Genomic DNA, 25,605 nt, shown 5'->3' with positions numbered 1-25,605 from the left:
AAATTGGTGCTGAGCGAGGAATTCAAATGGGAATTACAATATGTGGAATATCTGATAGGTTTTATCTAGATTTAAATGAGACTGCTCTTGGAGGCTGGTTGCATCTAGCCTCTTCATGGGCATAATTTGAATGACACTTTAGCCACCCCATGATTATTTCTACAAATGGAAGGAATACTAGATTATCTGACATAAAACAAGATAAGCAGAACTTGCTAGTACTGCTTGGAGCAAGCTTCTGGTGCCTTCCTTACTGCTATATCCTAAGAATATGACCATTAATTCCTCTCTGCCATGTTGCTTGTTGCCTGTCTCCCTAGGGTCAGGTCTTTCCAGATATCTACTTTCTTCCCTTCCCTTCACCACCCCCAGCACCAGCAAAAGGCCTTAAACATAGAAAGTGTTAAAGAAATGTATGTTGGCTGAGCATCGTGGCTCACACTCGTAATCCCAGCACTTTGGGAGGCCTAGGTGGATGGATCACTTGAGGCCAGGAGTTTGAGACCAGTCTGACAAACATGATGAAACTCTACAAAAAAAATACAAAAATTAGCCAGGTGTGGTAGCATGCATCTATAGTCCCAGCTACTTGGGAAGCTAAGGCACGAGAATCGCTTGAACCCGGGAGGCAGAGGTTGCAGTGAGCCGAGATCTTACCACCACACTCCAGCCTGGGTGACAGAGTAAGATTCTGTCTCAAAAAAACTAAAATTAAAAAGAAATAAAAAGAAATGTATGTTGGCCCAGTGTGTGGTGACTTATGCCTGTAATCCCAGGAGTTTGGGAGGCTGAGGCATGAGGATCACTTGAGGCCAGGAGGTCCAGACCAGCCTGGGCAACATGACCCTACAAAAAATTACAAATACACTATATATATATAATATATATATATATATATCTCCTAATAAGTCCAATGGTAATCAGAAATACCAACAATGGTATCAGAAATAAAGTCCAATGGTAGTGAGAGACTCTTCAATTCATTCAAAATTCTATCTATGTATTTGCAGATGTTGGGACTGAAGTGAACAGAAAGTACTTTGGTTTTGCATCCTTTCTATGCAACAATTTTCAATGAGAGGTAGAAAAATTTAAGGGTTACATTTCATATGCTCCAGTCACAAACTCTTTAGAGGAATGATGATAATAAATCCAATCAGTAGATTTATCTGGGAGAAGAATTAATGGGTCACATCCAATGTATATATCTTCAAATTCCTTAATAAGCAGAGATGGACCAGTATTTTTTCAGTGTCCCTGGTGATTCTATGGGGCAGCCAGGGTTAAGAATCAATGCTGCAGATATTTACATAGTCAAGTACCCAGCCTAGCAGACTAGGCATTTGCCACTCCCAATTTCAAATTCCCAGAGGAGAGAATTTGTGTGGCTCAGGTTGGGTTAGGTATATACCTCAATCCCAGTTAAGTTGGCCCAACAGGCAGGATCACATAGTGCAAACAGGTTGACTTGGGGTCTCATTCCTGTGGCTAAGGCAGTTCCTACAGAAAAATGGGGAGAAGAGTGTTATTGTATGTTGGACAGACACCTAAATATGTGGCTTGACAGATATATGGAGTTCTTACTACTTGTTCCAGAACAATTGAAGACAGCTTGCAAAGACACAAACAATGCAGGATGTTAAAAAATCCATCAAATTAAGATACCTATGGAAAATAAAAGAGATTGTAGGAGGAATCAGGTGAAAACGAGGTAAGATTAGTGTTCCAAGTTATGCCCTGAAGGCCAGCACACTCTACTAGAAGTGCATCCCAAATTTGTATGTAAGCTTCCTTGCAGCAAACACTAAAACTGAAAATCAGCTACCCAATTCCCAGTATTCATAAGGTAACATACCAGTCCCCAGGAGAAGGGCAGCTTTCCCTGAAGAGAAAAGAGTGAAGGTGAAGGAGCTGAAGAAGGTGACTTTTCAGTCACTGGAGAAGAATTTCTCTTCTTTGGCTTCGTGAGCCCTAGACTTGATCTTCTTGCAGGAAATAGGGCAATGAATTGTTACGACTTCCCTTGCCCAGACCTGTAGCCCAAGGTAAAGTGCAGAGGGCAGGGTGCAACCTGAGCTTGGTGTGGAGTGCCTGTAACACTGATGAAATAGAGAACAACTTCAGCCGAGACTTCATTTTCTTTTCTGAAGAGAAATCTCCTACTTAAAATTTCCCTTAAACCTGCTTCTCCTCCACTCCAACCACAACCCCAACCATACCATAAACTTTCTGGTGTCAAAGTTGGGTTGTTTACTTACACAAGACTCAAGCACTTAACTAGATGGAAACCACATTAGGGTTGATTCTCTTTAAAGGAACTCTGAGGGAGTTTGAAGTTCTCTATGTGATTGACATCAGTCAGTTCACAGAGGAAAGATGAGCATTTATGAGATGGGGATGTGAGATGAAAAGGAAACGAGAAAAGGAAATGAGGTTTGACAGCCAGGGTGCTGCCATTTTGAGTTCACTTTCCAGAAACTTACCCTACTGTTTATCCTCCACCTAAATCCATCTTCCAAACAGACTTGAGTTCGATCTCATTTAATTTAATCAGGAAATTTTCTATTTCCCTATATTAAGTAGGGTCGACATATCAGAGAAATGAACAAACAAAAACCAACTGTGGCAAAGAATGTCTGTTTTGTTGGCAAACAACATGAAGATGGAGATGATTCAGCCATGGGCCATTTGGAGATCATTTAAACAGCTGCCCATGCCTGGGTTCCACTTCGATGGTGCATCCAGACATAAGACTCCTAATCCAGTGCTCTTCTTTCTCCTTCAGCACTCTATTGGGCCCACTAAGCAAGTACTGAGCCATCTCAGGGCACAGAGTAAAAGGCCATGACATTCAAAGGGGCAGGGCCTTGGAATCAAACAGGTCTGGGTTCTAAACCTGCTCTGTTCAATAACTCAACCTCTCTCAGGCTAAGTTTTAACACCTCTGAAATGGAGTAATAATGCCTCCTGTTGAAGTTAGAGATAATGTAAATATTAGCAACAATGCCAAGTATTAGAAATAATACAGCACATAAATTAGAACCTGGAAGGTAAATAGGAGGAGTTCTATAACTGAAAGTAATTATTCAGTCCACCTGCTCATCAATCTACTTATTATTTTTATTGCTTTTTCCTGTTCTTTGCTAGTTCTGAATATAAGCTACTAAGTCAAGTTGGGCAGAAAGAATGGAGTAGCAATGAGAGATTTCACGGTGGCTCATGCCTGTAATCCCAGCATTTTGGAAGGCTGCGGCGGGTGGATCACCTGAGGTCGAGAATTCGAGACCAGCCCGACCAACGTGGAGAAACCTTGTCTCTACTTTTAAAAAAGTACAAAATTATCCGGACTTGGTGGTGCATGCCTGTAATTCCAGCTACTTGGGAGGCTGAGGCAGGAGAATCTCTTGAACCTGGGAGGCGGAGGTTGCTGTGAGCCGAGATCGCGCCATTGCATTCCAGTCACCGGGCAACAAGAGCGAAACTCCGTCTCAAAAAAAAAAAAAAAAAAAAAAGAATCAGCTTCCTTCAGAAAGCCACAGTTCCAGAGGAGTATTCCACATCTCTAGGAAAGTGAACATAGGGGTTCATAGTTCAGGATTCTGCAATGGTTTTGGTGGTAGGAGTAACGGGAAGTGGGAAGTAAGCTGACTTTGCCCAGTAAAGAGAGGCTGTCACTGCAGCCTCACTGTGGATGTTTGTCTTGTAGCCCGTGCGTTGGCTCTTAGGTGCCAATTCGTCCATCTGCCTTCATCAGACTGCTGCACAGCTCTGGTCAAATACCTGTCTTCTACAGATAACAGTCCTCTGCTCTCCAGTCTCTGGAAACAAAGGATTCTAAAGCTACTTATCTTTGTATTCCTGAAATGTGCCTGTGTGACCTTCTTAGGATGCTTTTAATCCCTCGCTTATAACATCAATTTCTTTCTGATTATCAAAGTTATATGTATTCATTTAAAAATCTGGAAAATATATAAAAACTCAAGGAAGAAAAGAGCAATTCCTGCTAACTGCCCCACCTAGAGCTATTAGGCCTGCTGACATCTCCCTGGCCTTTTTTGTACCTAACATACATACATACATTCTTTCCATCCTTCCCCCACCAAATAGAATCCTATGATATATACTGCGGTATGTGCTTTCTTCACACAACAGTATATTATAAACATTCCCCCCATGCAATGAAATAATTTCTTTTTATTCTTGTTTTAGTCTCTTTACATCCTTAGAATCATCATGAGACCATGAAAGCAAGTCGGGAAACCTGGGTCCCAGCTGGCCAAGCGACACTGGGCAACTTATTCAGTCTTCACCTGGATAATCTACAAACTCCATCCCAGTCTCGAAGGTTTATGATTCCAAGCAGGGCACTAATCTTTTTTAAGAAAAACAAATGGACTCTGGATTTAAAAAGACAGACCCTCGGAAGCCCAGGTTTGCTCAAGCTCATATACGTATAATCTATGTAAGAGGAAAAATTGATGACCATCAGTGATCTTCCACAAATGCCAGACGTTATTCAGGAAGGGAAGAAAAAGTGCTTAAAATTCTCCAGTGCTTCTAATGGCTTGCTGAATTTGAACTCTGATCTCTACCATACCGTGAGTCCTTTACAGTTTATTGGACTGGATTATTTATGGCTGTGGAGGGAGCTGATCAAGGACTCTCTTTTTACTTTAGCACTCTGGCTACTCTCACAGAAGTACTATGTGCATTATTTCTGAAAAATGTTTAAAGGAGCTTTAGAATCTTTGTTTTCTGAATTTAAAAAAATGATAATTCCTGTGATTAACTAAATGTTCTTTTTACAGTGCAGAGTTTTCACCATTAAACCTGCATTTTTTCCTAATTCCATTTCATTTAATCACATCACAAATTTTCACTATTTTTAATCCTTATATTGCAAGGATTATTTCCACCAAAATATGTTCTAATTCATCTGACTAGATTATAGAAGGTTAATCAAAAACAAACCAAACAATTAAAAAGTAGATGAAATAACCAAATAGTATTGCCAGGAGAAAATGGGAAAATAAAAGCATATAAGGCATTCAGATAGATAGATAGATGATAGATAGATGATAGATAGATGATTCCATATACTACATATGTAATCACCACATTTGTTGAAAACAGTTGTTACATGCTACGTTTATTTCACATAAATATTTTGGTGGAGTCCAGTGCATAAGATTTGAAATCTGAAGACCAGCTGGATGTGTTATTCTTATCAAACCACTGAACTTCTCATTTATAGTGTTCTAAATTATGCCTTTTATAAATGTTCCATTTATAAAATGGAACAACAATACTGCCCATGAGAATCAAAAGAGAAAGTAAAAGTAAAAGCGAATCTAAACTGCAAAGTGACATACAAACGTAAAGATAAAAAACATACAGCTTGGTTTCTTTTTTCTTTCTTTTTTTTTTTTTTTAAATGGAGATGGGTGTCTCACTGTGTTGCTCAGGCTGGTCTTGAACTCTTGAACTGAAGTGATCCTCCTGCTTTGGCCTCCCATAGTGCTGGGATTACAGGCATGAGCCACCATGCCTGGTCAGCTTTGTTTCTTCCACTCATGATAGGAAAACTGAAAAGTTGCCAATTCCCCAAACTATTTTATTTTCCTTAATGGGGTTTCCCAGGAATGAATCTTTGAAGTTCTCCTTTTGGGTGCCACTTGCTGACTGAGACAACCTCAGAGCCCAGCATCTCCTTGGCAAAAACCCTGTGCCAGTTCTTGGACCTCAGGTAAGCCTAGTGGGCAGAACTGTGAGTTATGCCTGACTGTCTGACCTCGGCTTTACCGGCCACCCTTGCTCAGCTGGGCTACATATTTAACCTCTGGGTTAAATTCTCTTAGATTCCACTCTGGGACAATCAGCCTCACCATCTACTTCACTCAATAGGTTAAGGTCAAGAAGAAGGTGGAATGACAACTGGGAGCAGAGGCTTTTTGTAACACTAAAACATTTTTCCTCCTGACTGGAGTGGCAGGGAGGATCAGGGTGGTGCAGCGGTGAGCATGCTGGAGCCAGGCCCAAGATGCTTTGGCTGATACCAACTGTGCCTACTATACCTCAGTTTTATTATCTGGAAAAAGAGAATATTTTCAGCTGTAAGTGAGTTAATTTTAATAATTATCTCTGACATTTATATGGTGGTTTATAATTTACTTACATAATGTTGCTTGGTTTTATTCTCAAAAGAATGCTGAGAGATAGATAGTTTGATAGTTATTAGTCTCCCATGTTACAATGAAGATACAAGGGCTAAGAGAGATTATGCATTAAAGTGCTCAAGTGGTTAAAACACTTCAATAGCTCCCTATTGGCTCAATAATTTAGTCCAAATTTGATCATCTCTTCAGCTTCAGCCCTAGTCGAACTACCTGTAGTTTCTCTAAGGCAGGAATTCTCTAAGTGTGGTCCTTAGACAGGGAGCCTCGGCATCATCTGAGAACTTGTTAGAAACACAACTACTTGGGCCCCATCCAGTCCCACTGAATCAGAAACTATGAGAGTGAGGCCTTGTAATCTGTGCTTTCACAAATCCTTTAGGAGATTCTGATGCCTGCTGAAATTAAGCCTTAGAATGCATGCAAGGACTGTAAGGCGTTCCATTTTCTCTCTCATCTCCAGGCCTTTAACATGGTGCTCCACCTACATAGAAGGAGCTCCAGACCTGTCTCAAGCTCTGAATGCTACACTCATCCCCATACCCTCACAGCTCACTCACCCCAATCTCACCCCAGTGTCCCTTGAGTGGATTTACTCCTAAGTATCCCAAGTCTGAGAAGTTGTCTCTGGTTTTGTTGACCTCCTATGTGCCCCTAGAGGAACTTGTCCATTCCTCTAGAGAGGATCATTTCTCATGGCTTACTATTAAATTTTCTGTCTCCCTCAATAGGCCATATGCTTCTCGAGGTCAAGCAATATACCTTATTTATTTCTATATCCCCAGGGTCCAGCAGTGTCTGAAACTTAGCAGGTATCTAATAAAAGTTTGCTGAGTGGAGAAATGAATGATTAAATAAATGAATGAAATTAGTCATTGTGGCCAGGTGTGGTGGCTCATGCCTATAGTCCCAGCACTTTGGGAGGCAGAGGTGGGCAGATGACCTGAGGTTGGGAGTTCGAGAGCAGCCTGACCAACATGGAGAAGCCCCATCTCTACTAAAAATACAAAATTGTCCGGGCGTGGTGGTGCATGCCTGTAATCCCAGCTACTCGGGAGGCTGAGGCAGAAGAATCGCTTGAACCTGGGAGGCAGAGGTTGTGGTGAGCCAAGATCGCACCATTGCACTCCAGCCTGGGCAACAAGAGCAAAACTCTGTCTCAAGAAAAAAAAAATAAAAGAAAGAAAGAAAGAAAGAAATTAGTCATTGGGTGACACAACGAATACTTAAATCTGTATCAGCTGACTCCAGGCCAGACAGGACTGTGTATGAAAAGTGCTCAGCATGATACCTAGGTCATAGTAAGTGGTCTATAACAGTCCATTTTCCTTCCTTTTTCTTCCTCTGAGAACATTTTGCACAAAAAATTCGAGTACTGAACAAAAACAATGTTCTATTTTTGACTGATTGACCATAGGGAGGGTGAGGAATGGTTTCCAGCCATCCACCTAAAAGTCATGGTTTTCAAGAGAATCCTCAATCACAAACAAAATCTCTGACCACCACCAATAATAATTTATCATTTACTAGTTAGAAGATAGATGTCTTCTTTTGTTCTCATAGTTTAGTTTTCATTTCAAACTTCCTTTAGCAAAAGTTTTAAAATATTTTGGACAGGTGAAAGACTAGCAGTGGCACCATGATCATCTATATATCTACCATGAGCTCAGGGTTTCTCAGCCTCAGTGCTATGGCATTTTGGGATGGATAATTCTGTTGTTGGGGGCCTTCCTGTGCAATGTAGGATATTCAGCTGTGTACAGTCTGTTTTCACACTGCTATAAGGAACTACCTGAGACTGGGTAATTTATGAAGAAAAAAGGTTTAATTGACTCACGGTTCTGTGTTAACAGGAAGCATGACTGGGAGGCCTCAGGAAACTTACAATCATGGCGGAAGGCAAGCGGGAAGCCAGCATGTCTTACCATGGCCGAGCAGGAGAGAGAGTGAAGAAGGAAGTGCCACACACTTTCAAACAACCAGATCTCTTGAGAACTCACTCACTATCACGAGAACAGCAAAGGGGACGTCCACCCCCATGATTCAATCACCTCCCGACACGCTCTTCCCCTGACACGTGGGGATTACAACTTGAGATGAGATTTGGGTTGAGACAGAGCCAAACCATGACAAGCAACACCCCTGGCTTCTCACTAAATGCCAGTAGTGCATGCCCATGCACGCATACACATACCCTCCCCCTGACTTGAGACAGACAGAAATGTCTCCAAATGTTGCCAATGTTCCCCAGGAAGTAAAATTAACCCTCTTCCTTTGTAGAGAACCATTAACTCTGATCAGTAATTGTTAGCATTTTGCCATATTTGCTTTGTTATACATTTTCCCATAACCATTTGAAAATAAGTCACAGATAAGCTGGTAGTTCACCTCCACACACTTCACAGGCATCTCTTAAAAACAAGGACATCAACCTACATAACTACAATATTATTATATACATAAGAAGGTTTATAAATCTCCAATATTATCTAATACCTTGTCCATAGCCTTTACATGTGCAAGTGATATTAGCCTAAGTTTGGGAATGCAAGACATATTTTACTATCTAATTCTGGTCCTGTATTTGAAAGGCAAATTAATGATTATACAGTCTTTGCTGTTAGGTTGGAACAAGGAATTTGATTTCAAATGGCTTCCCTCAGCTTCAGTGTTCTGGTCAGGAATTCATGATCAAACTACAACATAGGTGCATCAAGACACTTGGTGATTTTAAAAAATAATAAAAATAAAAGTCTTTAAAACAAATGAACTGCTGAGCACACAGGTTGGCTGGCTGCATGCTTTGGTATTTTTAATCCCTAGGTATTTCCATTGTCTCCTTTCATCATTCTCTTTCTGACCTCATTTTATTTCCAGACAGCTTTGATACCTGGTTCATCATTCTGTGATCAGTTCTCATTTGACTCTTCATCTCCTTTGCCCTGCTATCTTTTACTCACAATCCTTGGCAAATTGATAGCCCTTAAAAAATTGAACCATTGCATTCTTCTCACTTTCACCAAGGATCTCAAGATTTGCTGAAGAAAAATCACCCAGATTTATGTCGTTATATATGCCTGGTCCCCATGTTTAACTGGGCTTCTACTGCCTAGAAATCTCATAGTGTTTTCCATATCTGATCTCTACAGTGGACATTTCACAGACCTGTGACCTCTGCCGACTCTCATTAGATGACCTCACCTCCTATTCACTGAGTCCACAGAAGTCATCTGATAAGAAAGTCTTCAACTTCCAACCCACAAGCTCACCTGCGTTCTCTTCTAGCTTTTCTTCCTTGTTCCTGACTTTAAAAAGTTGCCCCTGCTTTTGCCTAACACTCTTGCCTTTTGCTGTCTTAGGGAGCCAGTCTCTTTGTCATTTCTCAAGGGTTTGGTTTTCTCGTTGAATATTCTTCCTCTCTTCTGTTTCTCTAATCATTTCCTGACTACTTGTCTATCTAAACATAGTTAAGTCTCAATCTTTCTTGACCTCATGACAACCCTCAACTATGTCCTGATTTCTTCCATTTGCTTAACAACCAAGCCCCTTCAGAATGTTTCTGAAGGAAAGGTTCATGGACTTCATCAGATTATCACCCCTTTACTCCCAAGAAAGACTACAAACCTCTTCTCTACACGCTCTTCCTGGGAAATCTTGTCCACTCTCATGGCTTCAGTTACCCTCTATATGCCACTGGCTCCTGATACCTCTTCTGAGTTTTCCTTTTTCTGGATTTCCAACTGCACAGACACCAAACTCGGCAGGTTCCAAGATAAACCTGTTACTTTCCTCCACCCTCAAACAAGTTCCTACTTGATTCGTATCTTAGTAGGTGACACAGCCCCTTCTCCATTGCCCAAAGCTAAGACCTCGAGGCATCCTAGATAGTGCTTACCCTTCTTCTCTATATCCAATCAGAACTAAGCATCACAAAAGTTCTACTTTTTAGATGTGTCTCAGATCCACAGGCTTTATCCCTCTGGTGACCACTCCTGTCCAGATGGCCTGGGAGACTATGACAGCCTCATAATCAACCTCTCCGCTTCCAGTCTTGCTCCTCTCTGGTGCCTTTAGCATGAGGCAAACACCTTAATCTTTTTAATGTGTAAACCTAATGATTTCATTGGCTTAAACCCCATTAGTGGTTTGCTGTTGCCCTTAGGATAAGTCCAAACTCTAATGTGCTCAACTTGTCTCTTTATTACTTGCCTACCTCTCCAGATTCATCCTGAGCCCTTTATCCCAGCACTATCCACTCACAGACATAATGTTCCAAATATAATGGACTTACTTCAAGGCCTCAAATGAGCCACAGAGTCCATCACTTTTCAAACATTGCATATTCTGTTGTCTCCACCTGCAAATTCAAGTAAGCCACCAATTGGAGATTACCTGAGACATATTCCTTTGGCAACAGTTGCATATTATACACTATGACAGGCCAAAGCCACCATATAAGTAATAAAATTCCTTATGGTTTATATGGTACTTCATTTGTTGTAGGAGTAATAAATATTCACCATAGAAAATTTAGAAAAAGCAGATATGCATGTAGTTTGCATATATATGTGTATATGTTTATAATGTGCATATATAATATATATACATAAATTTTAAAAATAGGATCACCCTACACAGATTGTTTTTAAAATACAAACACATTTATTTTTGTGCCGAAAATTTCAAGTAAATAATTTAATAGCTCATCTAATTATATGCCCATGAAAATTAGAATAGTCATAAATTACAAGAAATTTCCATGATTTCACATGAGAACTGTTTTTTCTTTTCACCTTATTAAGAACTACCTTCGTCAACCTTCCAGCTACCTTTTGTTTTATAGTGATAAAATATACATAACATAAAATTTACAAGTTTAACCTTTTCTAAATGTACAACTCTGGCTGGGTGTGGTGGTTCATACCTGTAATGCCAGCGCTTTGGGGGGCCAAGGTGGGGGGATTGCTTGGGCCCAGGAGTTTGAGACTAGCCTGGGCAACATGGTGAAACCTTGTCTCTACAAAGAATACAAAAATTAGCTGGGCTTGTGCTGATAGTCCCAGTTACTTGGGAGGCTGAGGTGGGAGGATTGCTTGAGCCCAGGAGAAAGAAGCTGCAGTGAGCTGTGCTTGTGCCACTGCACTCCAGGCTGGTCAACAGAGCAAGACTCTGTCTCAAAAAAAAAAAATTTTTTTTGTGGCATTAAGTACATTCACAATGTTGTACAACCACCACTACTATTCATTTCCAGAACTTTTTCATCAAACAGAAACTCTGTATCCATTAAATAACTCCTCATGCCCTTCTCTACCCCACTCCTGGTAATCTCTACTTTCACATAAGTGTTTTATAATTTGTTTTTTTCCACTTAATTTCCAACACCTTTAACTATTCTCCAACATAATTCTTAATGGTTGCAAAGATTATAATGATTATGTCATAATTTAACTGGCCCCTCATATTTAAATACTTAAGTCCAGTTCTAATTTTTCAATCTCAAAAACAACACTACACTGAACTTCCTTGCCTTATTGTTTCTGAAGAAGTTTTTATCTCTCAAACCCTGTGAGAATTCAAAATTGATCATGCTATCTCCACATTAAAGATGAGAAGACGGAGCTCAAGTAGATTATGCTTTGTCTAGTGTCTCCATACGAGGAAGGGCAGAACTGGAACTAGAACCCAGGACTTCTAACTTGATACCACTGCTCTTCTATCCTGCCTCAGCCAGTCTCATTATTTCTCAATTTGGCAGAAGATGGCAATTAGGACAGAACAGCGGATTGGGGAATAACAAACGTCTGTGGAGCTGTGGAGAGATGGCCACACAAAGCTGCCAAGTCTGGGTTAAGTGGCATGATGGCTGACTTAAGATAGAGGAAGGAGACTGGGTGCGGTAGCTCACACCGGTAATTCCAAGGCTTTAGGAGGCCAGGGCAGGAGAATTGCTTGAGGACAAGAGTTCAAGATCGGCCTAGGCAACACAGTGAGACTTTATCTCTACCAAAAACAAACAAACAAAAAAATTAGCTGGGTGTGGTGGTGACCTCCTTTAGTTCTAGGTACTTGGGAGGCTTAGGTGGGAAGATTGCTTGAGTCCAGGAGTTTGAGTTTACAGTGAACTATATCACACCACTGCACCCCAGCCTGAGCAACAGAGCAAGACTCTGTCTATAAAGAAAAAAAAAGAAGATAGAGGCAAGGGACTTGTGAAATGTTCAAGGTCTACAAACCAAACTGGGATATCACAAGTCAAAAAAGAAGAGAGTGTAAACAAGCTCTGAAAGCTGCCAACAGCTAGGACCTAGGGATTGGCACCGCTCTATCGCTGGTCCCCAAAACACCCTTCGTGGGAAGAACTTGCTAGTATGGAATTCTCAGCCTCTGGGTTCCCACCATGTGCTGTGTGTCTATTTAAAAAATAATACAGTATAATAATCAGACTTGGGGAACTGTTTTGAACAAGTCGAATGGAACACACACACATAAATATTAAGTAGACTAGTTAAAACTCCAGTCTTCTTTGCTTTTTGGCAAAAATAATATAATCTTGGTGGAGAAAACACTAGTATTAAAAGCAGATTGTCTTTGACCTTAAGACAACATTTATTATTATCTTACAAATACAATTTATTTCATAGGAAAAAATCTTTAAAACATCAGGTCCATGGTGGAAAAATAGCAAAAGGGATTCTTTAAAGTAAATTGTTTGCAAATTTTCAATCAATTAATGCTGCCTTTACTCATTTATCCATTTTTCATTTTCATAATTTTACATAATTTGGGTTTCCCTGAAAGCAGATACTGAGATAAGAACTTTTGAGTGGGTAGCTTATTTTTGAGGTGATCCTAGGAAGCAGAAATGTGGGAGCTGGGAAGTTGAGACAAAGAAAAGAGGAAAGCCAATAAAGTGGTTTTTAAGGAGTGGGTTTCCACTGTGAGCAACTGTGGCTTATGTCTGCTGGGCATTGCTAAGGAACTGAGTTGACCATGCTCCAGAATTGTCCCATCAAGGGATGAGAGGCTACAGTGTTTATCCATCAACTTCTAAACCTTATTGACTGAAGGTTCCCTTTGGGGGTCAGTATTAAAGCTACCCTCCTCTCTTCTTTCTCTTGCACTTTTGGGCTCTAGGATCCAGATGAGCAGCCTTCTATGGCTGTGGAGAAAGCCCTGAGGCCAAAAGCAAACAAGCGCCAGGAGTGTGCCCTCAAGGTGTGCACAGGAAGTGTATGGAATGTGCATTGAAGTTGCTCTAAAGTCAGGTGGGCTGAGGCAGGTGGTTGAGAGACCATCAGTGTCTGTACGTACTTCTTTTGTACTTAAAACCTTCTCCATATAAAAACAAAACAAATAACACATCAAGCACACACACACACACACACACACACACACACACAAACACACACACACACACACACACAAATCTGCAGCAGGAGCAAAGCCTTTCCTTTGGCTACTACAGAAAAGCAAATTAGTATTTTAAATATTATATTAAGTTTAGAATGTGAATTACAGAGGAGAGAAACATTTATCTAGACAATTCTTCATTTGGCATCCACTAAAATTTAGGGATTGTCCTTTTCACACAAAGAACAATAATATAAAATTAGATGGCACTCTCAACATCATTAGTCATTAGGGAAATGCAAATCAAAACCACAGTGTGATACCACTTCATATTCACTCGAATGGCTATAATCAAAAAGATGGATGATAACAAGTGTTGGTAAGAATATGGGGAAACTGGAACCCTCATGTATTGCTGGTAGGAATGCAAAACAGTACAGCCACTTTAGTAAAAAGGTTGGCAGTTTCTTAAAAAGTTAAAGTTCCCATATGACCCAGCAATTCCACTCTGAGTAAGAAGATTGTATACATATCTTTATATAAAAACTTTTAACATAAATGTTTATAGCAATGTTATTCATAATAGGCAGAAAGTAAAAACAACTCGAATGTCCATCATCTGATTAATGGATAAACAAAATGTGATAAATCTGTACAATAGAATATTATTCAGCCACAAAAGGATTGAAGTACTGATACATGCTGTGACATGGATGGATCTTGAAAACATAATGTTAAGTGAAAGAAGCCAGTCACAAAAGGTCACATATTATATGATTCTATTTATATGAAATGCTCAGAATAGGCAAATAATCTTTTTTTTTTTTTTTTTTGAGACAGAGTCTCACTCTGTTGCCCAGGCTGGAGTGCAGTGACGCGATCTTGGCTCACTGCAACCTCCACTTCCCAGGTTCAAGTGATTCTCCTTAGGCAAATTCATAATCTTATGCATAAACATTCTGTACTTGGAGACAGAAAATAGATTAGTGGTTGCCTGGGGCTAGGAGTGGGAATGGGTTTTAGGATAAGACATCCCCAGATTCAACATTACAGGCTCTGATACGTTGGGCAATGTATTGAAAAACTCTTGACCTCAGTTTCCTCAACTATATAGTGGAAATAATAATACCAACCAACTGTGGAGATTAAATTGAGCATGTAAATAAGGAGTCTGATAGAAGAGACACATTTAGAAAATGGTAATTATTATTACTTCTGCTACTACTACTATTATTATTATTATGAACAAAGAACACAGGGTGAGGACCAATGCAGCATAAGAGACACAAAGGCTGAAACACACGCCGGGCGTGGTGGCTCAAGCCTGTAATCCCAGCACACTGGGAGGCCGAGGTGGGCGGATCACCTGAGGTTGGGAGTTAGAGACCAGCCTGACCAACATGGAGAAACCCTGTCTCTACTAAAAATACAAAAAATTAGCCAGGCGTGGTGGCGCATGCCTGTAATCCCAGCTACTCGGGAGGCTGAGGCAGGAGAATCACTAGAACCCAGGAGGTGGAGGTTGTGGTGAGCCGGGATCGCACCATTGTGCTCCAGCCTGGGCAACAAGAGCGAAACTCTGTCTCAAAAAACAAACAAACAAACAAACAAACAAAAAAACCACACACTAGAAAGTGGGCACAGAATCGTTGTGGAGAGATTGTCTGTGTTAATAATTTGATCATTCTAAGGCATTGAGGACTGTTTAAATTCAATTCCAGCTATCAACGAGGTAAAATGTGTTTTAAAAATAAATATGGAGAAAAATAGAAATTTTCATGGAGAAGTGAGGGGAGCAGATCACTTCTCAAAGACTGTAGAGAGACTTTACAGACCTCACGGGTAGAATCTCAGCCTTAGAATTAGGAATTATAGCAACAGCTAACTTGGCTAACCATCCCCCTGGGCCAGTACTCTTACAGACATTATCTCATTTATTCCACTTGATAATACCATGAGATAAATGCTATTATATCCCCGTTTTTCTAAATAAGAAAATAAATACTTCGAAGACTTAAGTAACCTTCCCAAAGTCATACGGCTGGAAAGGGGCTGCCTCAATCCCAAGCATGTGGTCTGCCAAGAAAGGGAGGTGCTGGCAAGGAGGAAGGAATGACAACCAAGAGGAATCTTGAAGAGGAAAGGGGTAACCTGTGGTCATTCCATTTAGATGGCCTCATCCAAGACTGTGACCTTCACACCTCCCAGCTGCATTCCCAATGTGTTCCCTGTGTACCCAACTCCAGGGGCACCATTCACAGATAGTACACTGTGAGTAGCGGCAAAGCAGCTGCCTGCTGCCATCATGTCATCATAGGTAGCAAAGTGGCTTATGAAAAGAAGATTGCAAGGTAAGTGTGTGTAGTGGGTACTGGGACAAAAAGAAAAATTGGAAAGGGATTCTGGGGAATGTGATAAGGAGTGAACTAGAAATAAATGAAGGATCAGGTGGCAGCACTCCACTGAGGTCAGGAACAGGGAAAGATACAGGGTTCGCTTCATCAGGAAGGGAAGGAAAAGGGAACTTTGGTTTAGAGACTTTAGGAGAGATACAAAGCATCCCTTAACAGTTCTAGGACTCTTAGAACAGGGAGAGAGAGGGCTGGGAGTTCTGTGTGAGAAGGGACTGAGAAGGTGGAAGGAAGAAAGCCACAGAAAAACCGTGCCCACTGCATAGTTTCACCAGACTATTTCTGAGCTTTTTTGTTGTTGTTGTAGATGGTGAGGTGGAAAAGAAAACAGGTTAGTGATTGGTCCTTTTACTTAAAAAAGAAATACTCAGGAAGTTTTGATGACTCAGTAATGAAAGTGATAATGTTTTTGAAGTGTGAAGCATGTAAGATGAATTTTTTTGTAGTTGTTTTTTGTTTAAATTGGAAATGGGGCTATTTTTCCACCTATGAAAGATATATTTCAATTATGGAAGATGATATTTCTACCCACAAGTCAGTTTGGCAACAATGCATTGGATTTCACCTTTGATTTTGTTTTTTTGGGTTTTTTGAGACCATGTTTCGCTCCTGTCACCCAGGCTGGAGTGCAATGGTGTGATTTCAGCTCACTGCAACCACCGCCTCCTGGGTTCAAGAGATTCTCCTGCCTCAGCCTCCCGAGTACCTGGGATTACAGGCACCCGCCACCACGCCTGGCTAATTTTTTGTATTCTTAGTGGAGACGGGTTTCACTATGTTGGCCAGGCTGGTCACAAATTCCTGACCTCAGGTGATCCACCCACCTCAACCTCCCAAAGTGCTAGGTTTACAGGCGTGAGCCACCGCGCCTGGCCCTTGCCTTTGATTTTGGATGGCCAGGCTCTAAATGTTTCAACCGACCTCTGGTGGTTATTCTCCTGGTATGCCCACTACAGTATAGATGTGCAGTCTCCACCAACTCACCAAATGACTGACTGACAGACAGGACCAGTCTCAAAACCCTATATTAAGGTTTAGTCCCCAGCTAAAGTTATAATAATATTTTTAAATTACGGTAAACCCAATAACCATATCTGAAATTTCTCAGAAATTCTAAAATAGCTTTTAAAAAGATCTTAAAATGGAAGATGAATCAATTCAAATACATTTGAGAAGACCTATTCACGGTGGCTTAAAATCCAATATTTGCATTCATGGTGAAATTCTTAAGCACTTTTCTGATGAACGTTAATGGGATTAAAGCTTGTTCTGGAAATCATTTACTGACCTATCCAACTGACTACTAGTCAAGGATTGAGTGAACTTTAGACGTTCTGTCTTTTTCAATCTGTCCTATATTGAGTATCTTACCAGTCTCTTTTTCTATAAAATAAAGCAGTGAATATTTGAATGAACTTGTTAGGGGCCTTTTTTCTTGCATGATATAAAAGCATTGTGGTAATAAAACTTCCATATATGTTCATAATTAAATGATCAGAAAAGTTTTCTTAAATAGCACGTAACAAAAATAATAATGATTCTTTAAATATCATCTAATACCAGGTCATATTTGTATTTGTTGCTGTATTCAGGTTATCACTAAGCTTACTAAAATTCAGGAATCACAGGCCTCTGTTATACAGAAACTCAATAAGGTAATAACAAGCTTTGGCTCTTTTCCTAAAATAGGAAAATCAACATCCATGATAAAGGCAAGAACGTCTTAATCCATGAGCTCTAAACTTTTTTTTTTTTTTTTTGAGACAGAGTCTCCCTCTTGTCGCCCAGGTCAGAGTGCAGTGGCACGATCTCAGCTCCACCTCCCGGGTTCAAGTGATTCTCCTCCCTCAGCCTCCCAAGTAGCTGAGATTTCAGGCACCCACCAACACATCCAGCTAATTTTTGTATTTCTAGTAGAGACAGGGTTTCACCATGTTGGCCAGGCTGGTCTCGAACTCCTGACCTCAGATGATCCACCGGCCTCAGCCTCCCAAAGTGCTGGAATTACAGGCATGAGCCACCACGCCTGGCCCACGAGCTGTAAAGTTTTCTTAGTTTTGGAATACTTTTGATAATTTTGAAGCTGTGGACCATCTTCCTCAGAAAAATGCACATATGCAGACATCAAAAATGTCCACAATTTCAGGGGGGTTCATGGAGCACTTGAAGATCATGTGAGGGTCTAGGACTCTGGTTAAGAACACATGCTTTAAATGTTCCTTCTCAGTTGGTTGCTCTGCTGCTGTTACTAAACAAGAAGGACGCCATCAACAGGACTTGCACAGGCCGGTCGCAGTGGCTCACGCCTGTAATCCCAGCAATTTGGGAGGCTGAGGTGGGCAGATTACTTGAGGTCAGGAGTTCAAGACCAGCCTGGCCAATATGGCAAAAATCTGTCTAAAAATACAAAAATTAGCAAGGTGTGGTGGCACACACCTGTCATCCCAGCTACTTGGGTGGCTGAAGCATGAGAATCCGCTCCTTGGAGGCGGAGGTTGCAGCCTAGGTGACAGAGCAAGACTCTGTCTCAGAAAACAAAGAAAAACAGTTTGATAAATGTGTCCCAATGAAATTACGAAGAAGAAGAAAAAAAAAAGCAGGACATGCACATACCCTGTTTCTTTAGGAGAGAGCATGTGTCACTGCCACGCACTCCAGACCTGGTTGGGAGTACAATGTACAGTCACATGATGTAGTGGCAAAAGCAATGTACTTGGTGGCAGAATTAGATTCTGCCAGCCACTCTTTCAATACTTTCAGAAAATCCATTTAGCCCTTTGGGGAGACAAAGATACGGCTAAGGTTAGGAATTTGTACTGCACGGAGCTCTAGAGTATTACTACCTCCATTTTACAAATTTGGAAACTGAGAATTAGAGAGGTTAAGTAATGTATCTAAAGTAACATGCAGCTCATAAATATTCAGCCAGGCTTCAACATCAGGCTTGTCTGAATCTAAAACTCATGTTTTTTGTGTTTTTTTTTTTTCCAAATTACACCTTTAGTCTTTAAACCGTGCATAAAATAACCTCCTGGGAGTGGTTAGCTGCAGTAGTTTGAAGGCAAAGGTTATCTTTGTCCCTATTGGTTTTATATATCTGACTCTTTTTCTTTTTCAACTTTTCTTTTAGAATCAAGAGATACATGTGCAGGATTGTTACAGAGGTATACTGCATGATGCTGAGGTTTGGGATGTGACTGAACTCGTCACTCTGGTATTGAGCATAGTACCCAAAAGGTAGTTTTCAGTCCTTGCCCCCATCCCTCTCTCCCTCTTCTAGCAGTCCCCAGTGCCTATTCCTATTTTATGTCCACATGTGCCCATTGTTTAGCTCCCATTTGTAAGTAGGAACATGCAGTATTTGGTTTTCTGTTTCTGTGTTAGTTCACTTAGTTAGCATAATGGCCTCCAGCTATATCCATGTTGCTGCAAAAGAATGGTTTCATTCTTTTTTATGGCTGCATAATATTCCATGATGCAAATGTACCACATTTTTTTTTTTTTTGAGACAGAGTCTTGCTCTGTGCCCAGGCTGGAGTGCAGTGGCACAGTCTTGGCTCACTGCAAGCTCCGCCTCCCAGGTTCACGTCATTCTCCTGCCTCAACCCTCCAGAGTAGCTGGGACTACAGGCACCCGCCACTACACCCGGCTAATTTTTTGTATTTTTTGTAGAGATGAGGTTTCACCATGTTAGCCAGGATGGTCTCAATCTCCTGACCTCTTGATCCACCCACCTCGGCCTCCCAATGTGCCAGTATTACAGGCATGAGCCACTGCGTCTGGCCCACAATTTTTTTTTAATTGAAAAAAATTTTTTGGCTAGGCACAGTGGCTCAAGCTTCTAATCTCGGCACTTTGGGAGGCTGAAGCAGGATGATTGCTTGAGCTCAGGAGTTCAAGACCAGCCTGGGTAACACAGTGAGATCCCATCTACAAAAAATTGAAAAAAAAAAAAAAAAGCCAGGCATGGTGGCACTGGCCTGTAGCCCTAGCTACTCAGGAGGCTGAAGTGGATCACTTGAGCCCAGGAAATCAAAGCTGCAATGAGCCATGATTGTGCCATTGCACTCCAGCCTGGGCAAAATAAAATTTATTTATTTCAAGACAAAGTGTCTTGAAAATAATTATTAAATAATTAAACTAATTAAATAACAATTAAGTATTTATTATATTATCTTTATTAAATAAACTAATATTAATAGATATAATTAATTACATTTATCAAATATTTTATTATTTAATTATTTTTATTAACTAAATTAGTTAATTTAATTTAATTATTTTTATTAATGGTAGCTCAACTTTTAGTTCTTTGAGAAATCTCCAAACTGCTTTCCACAGTGACTGGACTAATTTACACTCCCACCAACAGTGTATAAGTGTCCCCCTTTCTCCACAGCCTTACCAGTGTCTCAAAAATAATTATTAAACAATATTTAATTTAAATAATGATAAAATAATTTGAATAAATATTAATTAATTATTTTAATTATTTAATAATTATTTTAGTTATTTTTGAGACAATGAAATTATTTAATTTCAAATAATTAAAAAATTATTTTTAATTTAATGTTTATTTCGAGACAGTCTTGAAATAAACAAAAATAAACATTAAATTAAATAAGTAAACATTAAATTAAATAAACATTAAATAAATTAAATTAACATTAAATTAAGTAAACATTAAAATAAATAAACATTAAATTAAAACAATTAAAACAAATTTTTGTAGAGTCTCTCTTGCCATATTGCCCAGGCTGGTCTTGAACTCCTAGTTTCAAGCAATCCTCCTGCCTTGGATTCCCAAAGTATGGGACTACAGGCATGAGCCACTACACCTGGCTGATACCATTTTTAAATCCAGTCCACTGCTGGTGGGCATCTAGGTTGATTCCATGTATTTACTACTGTGAATTGTGCTGCAATGAACATACAGGTGCATGTGTCCTTTTGGTGGAACAATTAATTTTCCTTTTGGTGTATACCCAGTAATGGCAGTAATGGTATTGCTAGGTTGAACAGTAGCTCAACTTTTAGTTCTTTGAGAAATCTCCAAACTGCTTTCCGCAGTGGCTGGACTAATTTACATTCCCACCAACAGTGTATAAGTATCCCCTTTTTTCCACAGCCTTGCCAACATCTGTTATTTTTTGACTTTTTAACAAAAACCGTTCTGACAGGTGTGAGATGGCACTCATTGAGGTCTTAATTTGCATCTATCTGAGGATTAGTGATGATGAGCTTTTTTCGTTTGTTGGCCCCTTGTATGTCTTCTTTTGAAAATTGTCTGTTCATGTCCTTTGCTCACTTTTTAACGGGGTTGTTTTTTGATTGTTAATTTGTTTAAGTTCCTTGTAGAGTCTGGACATTAGACCTTTGTTGGATGCATAGTTTATGAATAGTTTCCCCGAATCTGTAGGCTGTCTGTCTGTATACTTCCTTGATAGTTTTTTTTTTTTTTTTGTGAGACAGAGGCTCACTCTGTCGCCCAGGCTGGAGTGCAGTGGCAAGATCTCAGCTCACTGCAAGCTCCGCCTCCCGGGTTCACCCCATTCTCCTGCCTCAGCCTCCGGAGTAGCTGGGAATACCGACGCCCGCCACCACGCCTGGCTAATTTTTTGTATTCTTAGTAGAGACGGGGTTTCACCCTGTTAGCCAGGATGGTCTCTATCTCCAGACCTCGTGATCCGCCTGCCTCGGCCTCCCGAAGTGCTGGGATTACAGGCGAGAGCCACTGTACCTGGCCCTACTTCCTTGATAGTTTGTTTTGCTATGCAGAAGCTCAGGTCCCATTTATCAATTTTTGGTTTTGTTGTCATTGCTTTGGGGGACTTAACCAAAATTTTTTTGCCAAGCCCAGTATCAAGAGGGGTAATTCCTAGGTTTTCTTCTAGGCTTTTTATATTAATGGTTTGAGGACTTACATTTAAGCCTTTAATCCATCTTGGGTTAATTTTTTGTACTTGGTGATATGTAGGCGCCCAGTTTTATTCTTCTGCATATGTATCCATATGTATCAGTTATGTCAGCACGATGTGTTGAATAGGGAGTCTTTTCCTCATTGCTTTTGTTGGGTTTGTTGAAGATCAAGTGGTTGTTAAGTATGCAGCTTTATTTCTGGGTTCTCTAATCTGTTCCACTGGTCTACATGGTATCTGACTTGATAAGAATTTTCTAGTCTGCAGAACATTTGAAAACCATTGCGATTTACTTTCCTGTTCACTTTCTACATCTGTGAAAGAGTATAATGATAATATCTACTTTATTGTGAGGGGTAAGTAAGAAGGTGCATATGAAACTTCTGTGTAAACTGTTGGTGTTATTCAGATAGGAGGTATTAACGTAATTATTATATGACAATAAAATAGAAAATTTTTCTCTTTAAAAATCTTCACTGCAATCAACCCACAACCTTGACAGCATGTTTCACACACCTGAAAAAGCATGTTGGCTTTCAGATGGTTCTTGGGTACTAGCATATAGTTTAGATTTGAAGGCTTTATTTAAAGGGTGGTGTCTCAATACATTTTTTGGATGTTTAACTATTAATACACTTTGCAATATACATTTTGCAGAAGGTGGTTATGAATTCCACCATGCAAAAATGTTATGTCTGTGACCTGGTTTGGGGCAACTTTTCTTTTTAAGTGTGATAGTAGCACTGTAGTTGTCCTGCTTCCCTTTTAAATAATAAACTTAAAACATTTTAGAGTACCAAAAATTTGCAGATAGTATAGAGTTCCTACATACTCTGTACCTAGTTTCTCCTTTCGTGAGCATCTTACATCACTCTGGGACATGTGTCACAGCTAAGGAACCAACATAGGCACATTACTATTAACTAAACTACACAATTTATTTGTATTTGACTAGTATCTTTTTCATTATATCATATCAAAGATACATGCTGTCCACATGACTTATCACTAATGATGTTAATCTTGATCACCTGACCAAGGTAGTATTTGCTGTTTACTAGGTTTCTCCACTGTAAAGTTACATCTCCCCCCATTTCCATCCTCTATGCTTTGGAAGCATGTCACTAAGCACAGCCCATATTTAAATCCCTCCTTCTTTTTTGAGATCCATACTGAAATATTTAGAAGTAAAATGACATGATGCCAAATATATATATATTTTTTATTGAGATGGAGTCTCACTCTGTCACCCAGGCTGGAGTGCAGTGGCGATCTCGGCTTACTGCAAGCTCCACCTTCCGGGTTCACGCCATTCTCCTGCCTCAGCCTCCCGAGTAGCTGGGACTACAGGCGCCCGCCACCACGCCCAGGTAATTTTTTGTATTTTTAGTAGAGATGGGGTTTCACCGTGCTAGCCAGGATGGTCTCGATCTCCTGACCTCGTGATCCGCCCGCCTCGGCCTAAATATTTGTTTTAAAATGGTTTAGGAAAGAAAAAAAGCATGAGGAGGAGAAATAGATAAAAATAAGTATGATAACACTCTAATGGCTGTTGAAACTGGTGATGTATAAAGGGAAATCAGATATACTCTACTTTTGCATATGTTTAGAATTTTTCAAAATAAGAGTTAAAAAATAAAAGAATCATCAAAGGAATTTTCCTCCTAAACTGCAGAAGGCTTTCAGGCTGAGATTTCAAGCAGAGAGATGCTCATATTCCCAGGACATATCCATCAGAAAACAGAGCAACTGCAGGCTGGGCTCGGTGGCTCATGCCTGTAATCCCAGCACTTTGAGAGGCTGAGGCGGGCAGATCACCTAGTCAGAAGTTCAAGACCAGCCTGGCCAACATGCTGAAACCCCGTCTCTACTGAAAGTACAAAAATTATCCTGGCATGGTGGCAGGCACCTGTAGTCCCAGCTACTCAGGAGGCTGAGGCAGAGGTTTCAGTGAGCCAAGATCGTGCCACTGCACTCCAGCCTGGGCAACAGAGCAAGGCTCTGTCTCATGAAGAAAAAAAGAAAACAGAGCAATTGCAAGGCACAACTTGAGAAGGATGGGCTTGAATTAATTTGTGTCACCTGCTAGAGGGATTTAACAAAAAGGTCGCCATAGAATGGACTCATGATTGTTTTTCCAGGCTGTGTCAGTCTGCGGACAAAGACAAAGGGAAGCATGAACTCAACTTAAAAATGTCCCATGTTCTAGGTATTAAGCTAGAGGTAAAAGGTTCTGGTATGGCTTAAAAGGATGAAATAATAGGACAGCCTGATTGCTGAAGAGCCAAGAGCTCTACTACCTTTCTGGAGCAAGGTTGACTCTTGCTTTGGCTGAGCCTGTCTTAGTGCATCTGGGCTGCTATAACAAAACACCATAAGCTGGGTGGCTTATAAACAACAGACATTTGTTTCTTACAGTGCTGGAGGCTAGAAAGTCCGAGATCAAGATGCCTGCAGATTCCATGTTTGATGAAGGCTTGCTTCCTCATAGGCAGCACCTTCTCACGTGTCCTCATATGGGGGAAAGGATAAGGATCTCTTTGGCCTTTTTTATAAGGGCACTAATCCCACTCATGACCTAATCACTTCCCAAAGGCCCCACCTCTTGTCCTAGGGGTTAGGATTTCAACCTATGAGCTTGGGGAGACACAGAAATTTAGACCATAGCACTATTCAACAGAAAAAGCCTTTGGTCTGGTTCTGTGAGAGCTTTGAAGAGTTCCAGCACGGTGTGGCCAGGCTGCCTCCGTTATAAGTGACAGAGTGGAAGACAAAGGACACTAAGCAACTTTTCAGGGTCTTCCTTACTCACTAACTCACTCATAACATCTACAAGTCACTAGCTCACTAACAACATCACTTAATCACTAACTCATTAACATCTACAAAGGCCTAGAACCTCTGCCCAACCAGCTTTAGGATCCTCTTTTAGTTTCTCCATGTCCTAGACTCTGTCTCTGAATCCTTTCCACCCCTCTCAGCTCTTATACTCTCTGTACATCTTACCTAAGTTTCATTATGTTTATTCCTGAGCCCTGGCCCCCCACACTCTGGGAATCTACATGTTAATCAAGCCCTGCTCCCCTCTTTGATGTCAGTGCATCAGAGATCATACTTTCAGAAACACTGCCTAAATTATAAAGGGCAGAGGCCATCTTGATGATCTTTGTATTCAATCCATGTTTTTGATGAATGAATATATGAATGAGTGAATTAATTTACACTCTGTGACTAGATGAGAAAGATGGATCTATAATTAATTTTTATTATCAGCTTTGGATAGAGTATCAGCAATGGGAATCTTGGTTTATTCTCAGAATCAACTAGCCACGTGAAATTATAACAAACATAAAATGTTGACACTTAGGGGACTTAAAAGATTTGTCCAGAATTTTCTGGCTTCAAAGTGGCTCATTTCATCTACCTTTACCAACTTCACTACACTGATTTATTGATTTATTTTTTAAATACACACCACTTTATTGTGGCAATTATGCTAGGCACTAGAGAAAAAGAGATGAGCAAGAAAGGATCCTTGCAATCAACAGCTCCATGGTAGAAAAGAAAGACAGCAACTACAATACGGTGTCTTAAGTACTAAACAAAAGAGAATGCATTTTCCAGCATCCACCTTAAAAATCATCCATGTAATTGCATGATGAGAGTGTGTTAAATTTCTGGAGAGGTTTGGCCTCTATTTTCTTCGGCTAATGAATCCAAACAACTCCCCATTCCTTACTTTGTTCCCTGAG

General features: G+C 40.3%; 1 annotated feature.

The window, feature by feature from the left end:
• Nucleotides 7,315-8,514: an enhancer, noted in NCBI's record as "CDK7 strongly-dependent group 2 enhancer chr3:171206252-171207451 (GRCh37/hg19 assembly coordinates)". NCBI's record gives its function as "activates an origin of replication core promoter dependent on BRD2, BRD4, P300/CBP, MED14 and CDK7 cofactors, with strong dependence on CDK7, by STARR-seq in HCT116 cells {active_cell/tissue: HCT116}" and the evidence as "EXISTENCE:reporter gene assay evidence [ECO:0000049][PMID:35650434]".

This window comes from Homo sapiens, chromosome 3 (genome assembly GCF_000001405.40).
Source record: "Homo sapiens chromosome 3, GRCh38.p14 Primary Assembly".
NCBI classification, from domain to species: domain Eukaryota; kingdom Metazoa; phylum Chordata; class Mammalia; order Primates; family Hominidae; genus Homo; species Homo sapiens.
The sequence above is the reverse complement of the archived record's forward strand: the minus strand, read 5'-3'. Positions and strand labels throughout refer to the sequence as shown.